The sequence below is a fragment of the Homo sapiens genome, chromosome 1 (genome assembly GCF_000001405.40).
Source record: "Homo sapiens chromosome 1, GRCh38.p14 Primary Assembly".
Lineage (NCBI taxonomy): Eukaryota > Metazoa > Chordata > Mammalia > Primates > Hominidae > Homo > Homo sapiens.
In genome coordinates, this window is record NC_000001.11 from 10932720 (window position 1) to 10947063 (window position 14344).

The 14344-nt window shown below is 55.2% G+C and overlaps 1 protein-coding gene across 6 annotated transcripts in view, besides 8 other annotated features; it reads right to left on the minus strand.

Annotated features, from left to right (window-relative positions):
* Positions 1447–2412: an enhancer, noted in NCBI's record as "H3K4me1 hESC enhancer chr1:10994223-10995188 (GRCh37/hg19 assembly coordinates)". NCBI's record gives its function as "activates a minimal SCP1, AML or CMV promoter by ChIP-STARR-seq in naive H9 embryonic stem cells {active_cell/tissue: H9 hESC(naive)}" and the evidence as "EXISTENCE:reporter gene assay evidence [ECO:0000049][PMID:30033119]".
* Positions 2413–3378: an enhancer, noted in NCBI's record as "H3K4me1 hESC enhancer chr1:10995189-10996154 (GRCh37/hg19 assembly coordinates)". NCBI's record gives its function as "activates a minimal SCP1, AML or CMV promoter by ChIP-STARR-seq in naive H9 embryonic stem cells {active_cell/tissue: H9 hESC(naive)}" and the evidence as "EXISTENCE:reporter gene assay evidence [ECO:0000049][PMID:30033119]".
* Positions 4374–4958: an enhancer, noted in NCBI's record as "H3K4me1 hESC enhancer chr1:10997150-10997734 (GRCh37/hg19 assembly coordinates)". NCBI's record gives its function as "activates a minimal SCP1, AML or CMV promoter by ChIP-STARR-seq in primed H9 embryonic stem cells {active_cell/tissue: H9 hESC(primed)}" and the evidence as "EXISTENCE:reporter gene assay evidence [ECO:0000049][PMID:30033119]".
* Positions 7616–7665: an enhancer, noted in NCBI's record as "active region_155". NCBI's record gives its function as "activates an Ori minimal core promoter by ATAC-STARR-seq in GM12878 lymphoblastoid cells {active_cell/tissue: GM12878}" and the evidence as "EXISTENCE:reporter gene assay evidence [ECO:0000049][PMID:35858748]".
* Positions 7696–7775: a silencer, noted in NCBI's record as "silent region_256". NCBI's record gives its function as "represses an Ori minimal core promoter by ATAC-STARR-seq in GM12878 lymphoblastoid cells {active_cell/tissue: GM12878}" and the evidence as "EXISTENCE:reporter gene assay evidence [ECO:0000049][PMID:35858748]".
* Positions 8897–9462: an enhancer, noted in NCBI's record as "H3K4me1 hESC enhancer chr1:11001673-11002238 (GRCh37/hg19 assembly coordinates)". NCBI's record gives its function as "activates a minimal SCP1, AML or CMV promoter by ChIP-STARR-seq in naive H9 embryonic stem cells {active_cell/tissue: H9 hESC(naive)}" and the evidence as "EXISTENCE:reporter gene assay evidence [ECO:0000049][PMID:30033119]".
* Positions 9463–10026: an enhancer, noted in NCBI's record as "H3K4me1 hESC enhancer chr1:11002239-11002802 (GRCh37/hg19 assembly coordinates)". NCBI's record gives its function as "activates a minimal SCP1, AML or CMV promoter by ChIP-STARR-seq in naive H9 embryonic stem cells {active_cell/tissue: H9 hESC(naive)}" and the evidence as "EXISTENCE:reporter gene assay evidence [ECO:0000049][PMID:30033119]".
* Positions 12945–13748: an enhancer, noted in NCBI's record as "H3K4me1 hESC enhancer chr1:11005721-11006524 (GRCh37/hg19 assembly coordinates)". NCBI's record gives its function as "activates a minimal SCP1, AML or CMV promoter by ChIP-STARR-seq in primed H9 embryonic stem cells {active_cell/tissue: H9 hESC(primed)}" and the evidence as "EXISTENCE:reporter gene assay evidence [ECO:0000049][PMID:30033119]".
* The window catches only part of CIROZ (ciliated left-right organizer protein containing ZP-N domains), a 35602-nt gene continuing 35013 nt past the window's right edge, over positions 13756–14344 (minus strand). For 4 of the 6 annotated variants that reach the window (NM_001170754.2, XM_047446828.1, XM_047446831.1 and 1 more), the window contains one exon: positions 13756–14022. The gene's annotated coding sequence lies outside the window, so the exon portion shown is untranslated. The remainder of the gene's footprint in view (positions 14023–14344) is intronic. The other 2 variants (NM_001366227.2, XM_047446830.1) reach the window with 2 other exon arrangements.

Genomic DNA, 14344 nt, shown 5'->3' on the forward strand with positions numbered 1-14344 from the left:
GCCTCCCGGGTTCAGGCCATTCTCCAGGCTCAGCCTCCGGAGTAGCCGGGACTACAGGCACCTGCAACCACGCCCGGCTAATTTTTTGTATTTTTAGTAGAGACGGGGTTTCACCGTGTTAGCCAGGATGATCTTGATCTCCTGACCTCATGATCCACCCGCCTGGGCCTCCCAAAGTGCTGGGATTACAGGTGTGAGCCACCGCGCCTGGCCTATTTTTTTTTTTTTTTAGATGAAGTCTTGCACTGTCGCCCAGGCTGGAGTGCAGTGGCATGATCTCGGCTCACTGCAACCTCCACCTGTCTCCTGGGTTCAAGCAATTCTCCTGCCTCAGCCTCCCAAGTAGCTGGGACTATAGGTGTGTGCCATCACGCCTGGCTAATTTTTGTATTTTTAGTAGAGACAGGGTTTCACCATGTTGGCCAGGCTGGTCTCAAACTCCTGACCTCAAGTGATCCACCCACCTCGGCCCCCCAAAGTGCTGGGGTTACAGGTGTGAGCCACCACACCCAGCCTATATGTATATTTTTTAACACGCACACACATACACACACATACACACACACACACACACGATTTAGAAAGCTCTATACCAAGCTTATCCAACCTGTGGCATGGGATGGCTTTGAATGCAGCCCAATACAAATTCATAAACTTTCTTAAAACATTATGAGATTTTTTGTGATTTTTTTTTTTTAGCTCATCAGCTATCATTAGTGTTAGTGTATTTTATGTGTGGCCCAAGACAGTTCTTCTTCCACTGTGGCCCAGGGAAGCCAAAAGACTGGATACCTTAGCTTACCAAATCTAGCAGAAGTTGCCATGAGGAAGGGAGTGACTGGGGCCAGTCCAGGCAAAGGGGTCTTTCATGTTTTACTCTCTATGCCTCTGTGGGGTTTGTAATTTTTGCAATGAGTGCTTTTAAGTGACTTACTTGATTTTAAAAAACCCATTTACTGTATGTATGTGTGTGTGTGTGTGTGTGTATATATATGTGTGTGTGTATATATATATGTGTGTGTATGTATATATGTATATATAAAATTCAGAGTGGCCCCAGGAGTAGAGTGTTAGAAGGTGTCCATGAGGGAGGGGTTGGGATCTGGGGAGGCCTGAGGAGGCGGGCGGGTGTGGCCACAGGCAGTACCCTATTAGATCCAGTGCTGAGTGCAGCTGGGGAGGGTGTCTAAGTTGGATAACTGCTCACTGGGAGAGGGAGTTATAATCCACCACATTAAATACTGGGAGCTCTAACCCAGTGTCAGAACCCAGAGAAGGTCGGGCACAGTGGCTCACGCCTGTAATCCCAACACTTTGGGAGGCCAAGGCGGGCAGATCACTTGAGGTTGGGAGTTAGAGATGGGCCTGGCCAACATGGCAAAACCCTGTCTCTACTAAAAATATAAAAATTAGCCAGGCATGGTGGCATGCACCTGTAATCCCAGCTACTTGGAAGGCTGAGGCAGGAGAATGGCTCGAAACCTGGAGGTGGAGGTTGCAGTGAGCTGAAATGGCACCACTGCATTCCAGAGCCCAGAGAAGGTGCCTGATCCAACCTGAGGACCCAGAGGGCTTCCTGGAAGAAGTGGCTGGCGCAGGGGCACTGAGCATGAGTAGTGAGGCTGAGCAGTCACGGGGCCTGCCAGCAGGGGAGACTCCATGAAGCACCCTTTGGAGCCCAGAGCCTCTGGGCTACTGTGAAGCACCCTCTGGACCCCAAGCATCCCCAGGCCTGCAAGCTGAGCGAGGGAGGGTTGGACTGGGCTGGGGGCTGTTGTCCCCTGACCCCCACATCCACATCCACATAGGTCCTGCACAGCCCTCTCCCCAGAAACTGGCCTAGGGCACCACAGGAGCAGTTATGCAAATCGCCTCCAGGTGTGGCTCTCATTACCTTTTGGCGGCTGGGGCTGCAGAACGCCCTGATGCCACACTGGGCCGGATTTTGGAGGAGCGGGGAGGAACAAACAGCCTGCGCCCTTCTCTTCCCCCAACTACAGCTTCAGTGGAAAAGAAAAACATCTCTCTGGAAGAGCCCCCAAAACCTCATCACATCTGGTTCCCATCGGCCCCGTTTGGTTCTAATCATCCTGCTTCCTGCTACCGTCTCTGGGTGCCCCCAACCCCTGCCAAGTTGTGGGAACAGCCCCCACCCCTTCCCTCAGCCTTCAGCAAATCCTGCTCAGTGGGGTCCCTGACAGCTTCATTCAGACATGGAAGACTGGTGCTCAGGAGCCCGCGGGTGGCTGTGGTCCTGGACAGCGCAGCTCTAGATTGAAAGGCTGTGTCAGGGGTGGGTTCCAAGTGTCCCCCTGCAGTCCTGGGGATGCTTGGGGTCTATCCAGGCTCCAGAGGGTCCTGGGCTCACCATGAATGTGATGGATCATCTCGCTGCCCCCGGATGTTTCCCCAGACCTTTCCTCTGGCTGTTCCCGCAGCTTGGGGGCCTGTGCTTTCATAGTGCCCACACACAGCCTGCCAGGTCCCACCCAGACCTCCAGGAACCCTGCTGTCCCCTAGGCCTGGTTCCCCTCACCTCTTGGAGTGGGCCTTCCCGTGCATCAGGCACTGTGTTGGGCTACCTGCTCCCCACCTCCACCTCCCACCAACCCTCCCTGGGAGGTCCTTGGTAACCAGGAGTAAACCAGAGGCTCTGTCTGTCCTGAGAGCACAGAAGCAAGACAAAGTAGTATTTACCTGGAAGGCGTTTCTCTTCAAAGCCACTTCCAGAGGCCCCAGGGCCTCAGGGACAGAGCTGGGATAGGGTAGGGTAAGGGTGGGTGTGTCATGGAGCAAACAGATGATGGGTGGCAGGCGAGGCCAGGAGACGAAGCCCAGAAAGCAGGGACTCCAGGCGCTGCCCAAGCGGACCCAGAGAAACGATTTGGAGGGAAAGTCACAGAATCCCTCCGCTCTCCCCTCCAGGTGGTGGCAGCTTGGGACCGGCTGGGAGTGCATCTCTCTCTCCAGGGCAGGACACTGCCTTCAGCCCTCGCAGGTGCTGCTGTCAGGACCAGGTGACACGTGATGGACAGCATTTGTCCCGAATTATAACTAATCATTACCAGGTTGCACGCACTATGCGCAAAGCTCTGCCCCACCTGAGTCGGGTGTGTTAACTCCCTTCATCCTCACAGAAACCCAAGAGGGAGCTGCTTCCATGGTAATGATAATTATTATCATCCCCATTTCACAGATGAGAAAACTGAGGCATAAATAGGTTAAGTAACTCTCCCAAGGTCATACAACCAGGAAGCAGCGAAGCCAGGATGTGGACCCAGGAGCCACTTACCACTCCCCGCTCTACTGTGCAGAGGCCTTGGGGTCCCCCAGAATGCAGGGGTCTCTGATTCCACTACTACCTCTCCTTCCTAGACTGGACTAGACTCTGGACTGGGAGCTCCTTGAGGGCAGCAACAGGGACAGGTTTCACCTGTGTCTCCCCAGCAGCCAGGACTAGGTTTTCATTCATTCATGCATGCATTCATTCATTTATGCATTAATTCATTCATTCATGATTTTTACGAGCAGCACCTGGGAGCCATGTGCCACAATCCCTCTGAGCCTCAAGGACCCTCATCTGCAAAATGGGAATATTGCTAGGCGCGGTAGCTTACGCCTGTAATCCCAGCACTTTGGGAGGCTAAGGTGGGTGGATCACCTGAGGTCAGGAGTTCGAGACCAGCCTGGCCAACATGGTGAAACCCCATCTCTACTAAACATACAAATATTAGCTGGGCGTGGGATGCGCGCCTGCAATCTCAGCTTCCAGGGAGGCTGGAGCAGGAGAATTGTTTGAACCCGGGAGGCAGAGACTGCAGTGAGCCGAGATCACGCCACTGCACTCCAGCCTGGGCGACAGAGCGAGACTCCGTCTTGAAAAAATCAAAAAGAACAACATGGGAATATTGTCTAGAACAAAGCAATCCAACAGAAATAAAACCAGCAGGCATGGTGGCTCACGCCTGTAATCCCAGCACTTTGGGAGGCTGAGGCGGGCGGGTCATCTGAGGTCAGGAGTTCGAGACCAGCCTGACCAACATGGAGAAACCCCATCTCTACTAAAAAATATAAAATTAGCTGGTTGTGGTGGCGCATGCCTATAATCCCAGCTACTCAGGAGGCTGAGGCAGGAGAATCGCTTGAACCGGGAGGCAGAGGTTGCAGTGAGCCAAGACCGCGCCATTGCACTCCAGCCTGGGAGACAGAGCAAAACTCCGTCTCAAAAAAAAAAAAAAAAAAAAAAAAAAAGAGTAAGAAGTACCAAGTGAAATTAATTTTAACAACATGTTTTTTTAAAGCCATGTTTAATAGCTTTAAAATATTATAGCTATTATATTAATAGCTCCAAAATATTATCCTGTCAGCCCATAGTCAGAGGTAAAATGATGCATGAGATATTTCACATTCCTTTGATTGCACCAAAGCTGAGCAGTCCTGTGCACCTTTTACCTGTAGGGCATTCAGACATGGGAGACCGGTGTCAGGAGCCACAGGTGGCCATAGTCCTGGACAGTACAGTTCTAGATTGGCAGGTTATGTCTGGGTTGGATAAACCCCCAGCTTCCAGAGCGTGCGCAGGTGAGAGGGTCCCAGCCCCCTTTCTCTCGGCCTAGCAGAGCCTCCCCTTTCCTTCCTTGCCAGCCTTGCCCAGCCTCTCGCACACAGCCAGGAGTCGGGCCCCTCTGGGGTGCTCCTGGAACCAGGACTGAGGCCTGCTGGTTTCCGGGGAAGGAGGAGAAGAGAAAGAGCAGGCTGGGCGGTGAGGAGGGAGCTGCTGCCTGGCACGGGGACAGGGTTTGTTTGCACCTCTTTGAAGCCAGGAGATGAAAGCAGGACCCACATGGGCTGCCTTTGATTTTCTCCTCCCTGGGCCCCACGCAGCTGCAGCCGGGCCGGGCCCAGCCCTACACTGCCCCAGGGGGAGCAGAAGAGGCCCTAGGCTGAGGGTGTTGCTCCCCTGGGTGGCTTGGGGTAAGTGGACAAGGCATCCTCAGCCCTGGGGGATGGCCCTCCCACAGACCCACCCGAAAGAGACAGCCACAGCCTCCCTCAGGAAGAGCCAGCAGGTGCGCTGTGCAGAACCTGCGGCCCCAAACCTCTCCTCCGCCAACACCCGGATGCCCACCCTAGCGGCCAGCCCTGAAGGACAAACACAGTAAGAGCACGGAGGCTGAGAATCGGGTGGATCTCTCACCCTCTCCAAGCCTCTTTCTTAAGTATTCGTTGAGGGCCTACTGTGAGCCGGCACTATTCTAGATGCCTCCCACTGTGTGTCACAGAGCAGATGGAATGAAATGACTGTTTAAAATGCTCAGCACTGCAGCCAGGCGTGGTGGCTCACGCCTGTAATCTCAACACTTTGAGAGGCCGAGGTGGATGGATCACTTGAGGCCAGGAGTTCAAGATCAGCCTGGCCAGCATGGCGAAACCCCGTCTCTATTAAAGATACAAAAATTAGCCGGGCGTGGTAGTGCACGCCTGTAGTCCCAGCTACTCGGGAGGCTGAGCAAGAGAATCGCTTGAACCAGGGAGGTGGAGGTTGCAGTGAGCCGAGATCGCACCACTGCACTCCAGCCTGGGTGACAGAGTGAGACCCTGCCTCAAAAAAATAAAATAAAAATAAAATACTTAGCACCGGGTCCGGCACATGGCAAGCGCCCAGTGCATTTAACCAGCCTCCCCATCATCATCGTCATCACTACTGCATTCTTCAAGGTCTCTTAACTGCCGCCAGGCTCTGAAGGGAGAGAATCAGCGGCTAGAACAGTGCCCACCCCTAGGTCCTGTCCCTCTATGTTCTGGCCTGACATCAGCCTCCTCCACTCTCCCAGATCCTTTGGGGGCAGCCCTTGGCATGGGGGAAGCCAGACCACTTCACTCTGTGGCCAGAGAATGGCAGCTCAGATCCGAGGCGTCATGCTCCAGAGACCCCCTGGCCATTATGGAGGCAAAGACCCTCAAGCAGCTGGGGGCTCCGGGTAGCAGCAAAGCTCTGGGGCCAGCAGGGGTCAGGGCCTCTGCTTTACCAGGGGGGGTGGCCTCTGCAATACTGGACCCCCCATCATTTCAGGCAGCATGGATCAGGTGTCCTAGGCCCTCCCCCCTATCCAAACAGCCTCTGGAGCCCCCGAGTCACCCCACCTCTGTGGGCAGGGAGAGCCACCTTTGTCTTCCTTCTTCTCCCGGCAGGGCGCGGACTGCACTGCTGGTTACAGCATCCTCCCACGCAGGACTTGCTCTGCTCCCAGGCAGCGCAGGGACAGAGGGTGGGAGGGCCCGTGAGCCCCTCTGGGCATGCACCTTTACTCCTGATCCTCCCTCCCTGGACCTCCTGCTGCCTCCTGTGGGTAGGGGAGGAGAGATGGTGAAACCAGGCTGGCGACAAGGAGCACAGTGGATAAGAACCAAGCACCGAGGGCTTGCGAATGACCGCTGGGTTTGTAGGCCTGGCCAATGCGGGCTCTTTCCAGGTGTGTCTCTGACCCTGGCATTGCTGTTTCCAGGCCGGCGTGGTCATCCCCATTTCACAGATGAGGAGACCAAGGCTCAAAGCCGTGGAGATGCTTGCCCACGATCACACTCTTAGTTAGTGCAGCCAGGATCTGATCTCAGGTCTGACTGATTCCAAGTCTGTGTTCTTTCCACCCACCCGCACTGCCAGGGAATTCAGCCCCTCTCCTTGGTGTGCTCACAGAGCCCCAGGCGGCTCCTCTAAAGCCTGAAACTGCGCAGCCAAGAAGCCAGCCCTGGAAATGACTCGTGGCAGATCCAATGCTGGCCTCGGAGGCAGACCAGTCAGGTAGGACTCTCACCAACCCCATGGCCTCGGACAGGCCACCTTACCTCCTGACCTTCATCTTCTCTGCCAGGGAAGGGGGATGGAGGCAGGATTTCCAGAAGCATGCGAGGCTGGCGTGATGATCTTCACCTTTTTAAATGCCTTAATAGTTTTAGATTTGTTTTATTGTGTATTAGAGCAGATAGATGTAACTAGCACATCAAATTCACAATTTCAGGGACATTTTTGCTTAGGTACTATCTACGTAAGTGAAAGAAGGGCAGCGATTTAAGGGAAAATACTAAGTAAATGAAAGCCCAGGTGGTTGGAGGATACGGCTCAGGGTGTGGAGGAAGATCAGCACGCTGGTGTCTCGGCAGCAGAAACCAGCAAGAAGACCTGCATTGACCAGATCAGAGCTCAGGTGGGAAGGGGCTGGAAAGGAGTGCCCTGGCCCCCCTGGCCACATGGACAGGAGAGAGGGACTCAGGGAGGCAGGAAGGCAGAGCCCAGGAGAGGAAAGGGAGAAAGCCGAGTAGATGCATCTACCCAAGGACCCCGCGTGGAGCCTGGAAGCCACATTGCTGCCTCCCGCCCTGGGCCACCCTGTCCGCAGCTGGCTGATGTAAAACACACATGTTTTGACTGAAGCCGCTCTCCCCCCACCTCCTGAAAAACGCCAACATTAAAGGGAGCGTAGCTTTGTAAAACTGAAACTGTAAAATGCTTCTGAAACCCAGCCTGGGGGATTAAAGAAACCACATGAAAAGGGACTCGGGACGACCTGGATGCTGACTTCCTGTTCAGAAGTTCGTTCAACATGTGCCTCCCACCCGGGCCCGTAGCGTGTATGGAGGAGTGGGAGGGAGGAGGAGGGAGGAGGAAGGCCAGGGCCAGTGGAGGCTGGCGGGTGCCTCAGGGGCCTCCAGAAACCCAGAGCATGGCTAAGTCTGAGGCCTGCAACCCTAGGCCACCGCCTTCCCAGGCCTCTGACCTCCAGGGGCTCTGGGGAAAAGGGTTGATGTTGATCTTGGCCTTGGGACCCTGCCCTGTAGTAACAGAGGGGTCAGGAGAAAAAGACCGTAGGCACCCGATGCCCTACCTCCCTGCCTCTGCCAGTCTCCCCTGCTGTTCCCAGCATGGTCCTCCCTGGCCCTGGGCATTCGGAGATGTAGAATGTGCTTGGATCCCAGCTCAGCCTCCCATCCAATGGTAGTTAAGAACCTTCCCCAGCCAGGCACAGGAGCGACTGTGGGTTCAAATCCCAGCTCTGCCATTTCTTAGCTGTGGGTCCACCCAGGAATCCTAAAATACTCAACCCATATGGCTGTTCAGGGGAATGTGCTCAGCAGGGTGCCTGGCATGTAGTAAGGGCTCCAGGAATGGCAGCCACCACCAGCAACCACCCACCTTCTCCCCACGGGGAGGTCAGAGCATGCAGTGTGTGTGCAAGGATGCTAGGGCCGGATGGTGCAGCCAGCGCCCTGTGCTGCGACTAGAGGGACGAGGCAGTTCCTCCTCTGCCCCTCTCAAGACTGGGTCCAACTTTCCCCCCGGTCCCCTTCTTACTACGTGGCCTTGGCCAAGTCACCTGCCCTCTCTGGGCTCAGGGCCTGCATCCTGGGGAAAAGAGGAGAAGAGGAACTGGGTCAAAGGTCCCCTCCAGTTCAGATGTTCTAGTTTGGGGCCAGAGGATGAAAAGGAAGGAGGAAGCCTGTCTGTCCCCTATGGCTGAGGGACCCCAGCAGGTGTAATAAGTGATTTCTGGCACTACGGCTGAAGACGGGGCCCACTGTCCAGGGCTGTGTCTGGGAGAAGCCCTCTCTATGGACACTCACACCCCCCGGATCTTGCACAGGTCACACAGACACAGACAGCCATCCATCACCCACACACACCACAGGCCACTGGGTGGCCACCACCCCCCGGCTTCATCACAGCCCTCCCTCTGCTACATAAACTCCCCATGCCCTCCAGTGTCCCCCGCAATCACTTACCTAATATTAGGATATTAAAAAATATGGCAAGATTTTAAGAGACTTATTAAAATGCAATTAGCAGCGTGTACGACTTAAGCAGAGAGATTATTTTTAAAAATGACTTGATTGTGCGGAATACCACGCACCTTCCCGAGGCCGTAAACCTGCCAATCACACACGTTCTCAAACGAGGAGGTTTCCTTGCTTTCTCTTTGTCCTTCAGGCTTTTATCCTGTCCCCCTTCCCCCAGTGACCACTAAGGCTATCGTCCCCAGCCCACAAAAGCCACCCACCCACGAACACAGAGACCCCTCCAGAGGCCCCTCAGAAGGAAGCCAAGGGTTAATGAAATCCAAAGCAAACCCTGGAGAAGCTTTGAGAAAGCAGCCACGGGGTGGGCAAGGGGATGAAGAAGCCCCCTCCCACTTACTCCCACCCCCATGGTCATCTGGATCCGGGCAGAGGCTGCCACCAGGGTAAGGTTGACAAACTCTCCTTGCCATGAAGGGACAAGGGGTTGGAAGGGCTGAAGGGAGGAGGAAGAGGTCCCAGGGAGGGGGCTACTGCTGACCTTCTCCGAAGGCTGAGCCTCAGGGACCCGGGCGTCGCAGCCCCCGGCAGCGCCCACCGGACGGGCTGGAACGGTGGGTTACGCTGCCCCCTGCTGCTCGCTCTCTGAACTGCAGCTCTGCTCCCGGGACCTAGTATCGGAGCGAAGGCATTGGCATGGTCCCAGGGCCAGCCCTTCTCCAGCTGGGTGGCCCACGAGGCCCCCCGGGGTCTTCCACAGGGTTAACCTGAAGAGAAACATGCATCTGGAAATGGGGGGATCTTCTCTCTGGCCGCCACCTCCCACGCAGCCCCACCCCTGGCTGGAGGAGTTTATCAAATAATTTGCTACTGCCTGGCATGACGCTCCCCCTGGCACTTTTATTCCAACCATAAAAAGGCCATTTCATTGAGAAATAAAGCCCCATCCCCCTGACGTGTAACTCCTTTCAGAGCTCTTACTCAACTGCCAGGCAAAATTTATGTTTCCTGGATGTTAGTGCCTAAGATTGCAACTGGGAAGTGGGGAGAGGGCTGGAAGGGGGAATGCCTCTCTGGCGGGGGAACATGCATTTGCTCTCTTGGTCTAAGAAGCCCCGGAAACCCAAAGTGTCCAAGAGAGAGCCCTCCCCTTGGAATGAGGAGGCCGGGGTTTGGGCCCTCGTGCCACCATCTGCTGGTTGTGACTTTGGGCGGGCCCTGAGCCTCAGTTTCTTGCTCTGTAAAATGGGAAGAACAATTCTTTTCTCCCTGGAAGGGATGGTGCTGGGCGCAATGAACAGATGGAGGTGGCAAGTACTTGGAGGTGTATGAGAGTCAAGTGTTGTATTGTTATGGAGGCTGTGACATTCTCTGATTTAGGGGGTATCCCTCACAGATTCTCTCATGCAGCACTTCTCAACTTACACAGTGGGGCGTCAGAACCCCCTGGATGGCTTCAGTCCTGCAGCCTGCCCAGCCCCACCCCCTGAATTTCCGGATCTGTAGGTCTGGAGTGGGGCCCGATAATTTGCATTTCTCTAACAAGCACGAGGTGGGGGTGGGGGGGTGGGAAGGGCTGCTGTTCCGGGACGCTACTTTGAGAACCACTGTTCTGAGGGCTTTTCCATCTGGGATCTGGAACGGCTCAGCCTGGTTGTTGGGAAAGGAACCAGGAACAGGTGGGAGGTCATCTGTGGAGCAGGTTACAGGTGGGCTCTGGCTGCCTGCATGGGAATGAACTTCTGTCCATATCGTCCCATCTTGTCCTCCCACCTGGCTTGGCTTAATGTCTCTGGCAGCCCCCAGCCCCAGACACCAGACCTGTGAGCAGCAGAGGTGTTGGGCGGTGGGCCGGGGCTGGGCTGGGCTAGTGATAATGGACCCTCAGAAGAGAGAGGTTCTCCCCTGGCTGCATGAGAGATTCTGAACATCCCATCTGCATGGGATGGCCCAGGTGTCCTCCTGGATCAGAGGTTGCTGGGCCATTCACTCCGGTTTCCAAACAGCAAAACTGAGGCTCAGAAAGTGAACTGACTAGCTCAAGGCCACATGGCTTGTGGGGACAGATCTGGTCTCCAGACCTCCAGAAGAAAGCACTTCCCAACCACACTGCTTCTCTGGTTACATAGTAATTGGGAGGATTACAACTAAGAAACTGAATAAAAGGTATCTGGGAGGCTGGGCGTGGTGGCTCATGTCTGTAATCCCAACACTTTGGGAGGCTGAGGTGGGCAGATCACCTGAGGTCAGGAGTTCAAGACCAGCCTGGCCAACATGGCGAAAACCCATCTCTACTAAAAATACAAAAATTAGCCAGGTGTGGTGACGTGCTACTCAGGAGGCTGAGGCAGGAGAATTGCTTGAACCCAGGAGGTAGAGGTTGCAGTGAGCCAAGATTGTGCCATGGCACTCCAGCCTGGACTGCAGAGTGAGACGCCTTCTAAACAAAACAAAACAAACAAAAAAAAAACACTAGTAAGTCAGGACCTTCAACCAGGGACAAACAATGAGCCTGGATGCTGAAGGGCGTGAAAGGCTTTGTGCTCAAGAAGGAAAGCCCAAAAGAGAAACTGGACCAGCTCCAGCTGCTCTGTGTAGCAGGAGAAAAGTACAATAAATGCAACACAGCCTTTGGACTTCATGCGGAGTCGTGGGGGCATAAAAGATAAGAATCCAAGCCGCTGAGGGCGGGGAACCACTGAGTGATACCTAAGCTGTCCAAGATCTCCCGGCAGCTGCTGACCCCGAGGGAAAGAGCTGCTCCCTGCCAGACTTTCACTGATCACAGACGTGTCAGCCATAAACAACTGACTGCAAGACCTGGGAGGTCTCAGCAGGAAAACCAGCAGAGGCAACACCCGTGCGTGTCCCGGGAGCAGGCATGGGTGCCAGCCAGGTCTGCCCTGGTCACAGAAATGGGGTTGTCCCATCTGGAGGGAGAATGGGAGCCTTCCCGAGAACCCTGAGCACTTTCTAATTAAGCACGACTGCCCCGCTTTTGAGCGGGTGCAGATCGAAGCTGGGGGAAGGAAGAGAAGTAAAGTGGTTTGTTCCAGCTGCACGGAGCGCTGAGCTGGGAAGAGTGCCCAGAACAGTTAATGCCCAGACCCTCTCAGCCTTGCAAATCGCCGCCCGCCTGGGGGGTGAAGAGCCATTTATGCCAGGTAAAGGCTGGTGATTTCATTAACTCCCTTCCCTCTGTCTCGTCTCCAAGGGCGCAGGGTGGTTGTTAAACACGGGAGGACTTGGTAAAGGGTCAGCCCTTGTTTACAGGACTTTCTTGTGCATGTGTGCCCCTGGTCTACCCTGTCCCAAAGCTGGGGGGCTCTACAGGGATGGAGAAAGGGCAGGGGTGGATGGAAGTGGATGGAGGTGGAGGGGAGGAGGCAAAGAGAGACAGAGACTGATTCCTGGGAGAAACACCACGGCCAGTGTTGAGATAAAAGATGCGAGATGGGCGGATCACACGGTCAGGAGTTTGAGACCAGCCTGGCCAACATAGTGAAACCCCATCTCTACTAAAAATACAAAAATTAGCCGGGCGTGGTGGTGCACACCTGTAATCCCAGCTACCCAGGAGGCTGAGGCAGGAGAATCGATTGAACCTGGGAGGCGGAGGTTGCGGTGAGCTAAGATCAAGCTACTGCACTCCAGCCTGGGCGGCAGAGCGAGGTTCTGTCTCAAAAATAAATAAATAAATAAATAATCATAAAAAGACGTGTCACGTCTCCAACGTCACCAGGCAGCCACCTTCCCTGCGTCATCTGGACGCAGGTGTGGGAGGGGCACAAGCCCTCAAAGAGGAGACCCTTTGAGTCACCTTTCCTTTCAGTGGGGCTGCTGCTCTGTCCCTCTGACATCCACTCTCCAGCCAGCCTTTTCGAGCATCTACTCAAGGCTACTGCTTTGCTCAAAGGCCCCTGTTGGACGGCCCATCAAGGCCAAAATAAAATCTGGGCTCCTGACGGGGCCCACAAGCCCTGGAGGCCCATCCCCGCTGCACTCTCCCGCTCACACCACCAGCTTCCATGGCCTTCTCTCCATCCTTCCAGCCCTCCTCAGGGCCCTTGCTCTTCTGTCCCTCTGCCTGGATGCCACCCCCAGCTCTTTCTGCGGTTGCCTCCTTACTTCCTCAGAGGGGTCGCCCGACCTTCCCACCCAAAGCAGCTCGCAACCGGAGTTGCCTGTTTGCTCCTCTTGAGAGCAGGAAGCATTGTCTGAAATTGTCTCATGTGTTCATTGTCGGTGTCCAATCCCCCTCTCACGTACACTCTAGAACTTTCCCTCCCACACCAGGGATTTCATTCGATTCACTGAAGCCTCCCCGGGGCTGGAACAGTGCCTGGCACCACCGATGAGGCACTCCATAAACCTTTGTTGAGTGGTAGAGTCCCAGACACACACTGTGGGAAGGCAACTGGGAGGCTAGGGACCCTCCCGTATGAGCCTACGGCATCAGTGCTGGGCTCTAACCACTGACCCCACCAGCCTTTGAAGATCATCCGGCCTCTAGCCATGGGCTCCTGTGGGCCTCCTCCAGCTCAGGCCACCCAGCCCAGTGTCCAGGGTGGCAGCCAGAGACTCAGGCCTCCTCCTGCTGGCTTTCCCTCTAGGTGTCAGGCTTCCCCAGGCGTGGGGGCCGCCGTCCCAGGGCAGCGGCTGCCCGCAGGGGAACCGCCTGGTAGGGCTGGTGGGGGCTGGTCTTGGAGTCATGGCTCGGATTCGAGAAGGGAAATCATCTGAGCTTTTAAAAAATTAAATGGAGTCAGTAATTTGATTTCAGAGAGAAGCTGAAAACCTCGTAATGGCAGGAGCAGCTCAGTCTCGTGGTGAAAAGGAAAAGCCTTAAATGGGGCTATTAAGCTTTTGCCCGGGACGGATCTGCCCGGAGAGGGAGGAGGAGGGAGCGCAGAGGGGGGAGAAGTCTTCTTCGAGGTGGGGACCGTTTATCAGCCAAGACAACCCTGATTATTTATTTATTTATTTCTTGTTCCGGGCGGGCGTTGCCGACGGTCTCCTCTTCTTGGCTGCATTTCAAATCCCACTTCCAGTGATGGGTCTGCCTGGAGGTGGGCGTCTGGGGGTCCACCTTTCCAGGGAAGCACTGAGTGAGTGCTCTTCCGGCCCAGAACACTGTACCCAGCCACAGCTGGGCATCTAAGCCAGGGAGCCTGGGGACAGCTGGGTCACTGAGGGTCACTGGGGCTGTCCAAGCCAGCGGGGTACCGGCTGCTGCCATGGAACCCAGAGGAAGGGAGTTATGAGTAATGAAAACGAAGCAGTGGCATCCCATTCTCCTCCCCTGGAGTCCTTTAGAGACCTGAGGTCATGGCACCCCAAGGCCTGGGGAGGGGGTAAACACCAAGGGTTCATATCACCATCACCAACAACCCCCAGAGATGTCTGAACCATGGCTCAGGCCCTCCATGCTTTCCTAGGCCTGCAAGCATCCCCTCTGCCTGGGCCGGGAGGTGGATGGTGGAATGATCGCCGTAAGAATGGCTCTCGAGTTCTGAGTGCACTGGATGTAGTCCGGCTCCACGCCAAATGCTCT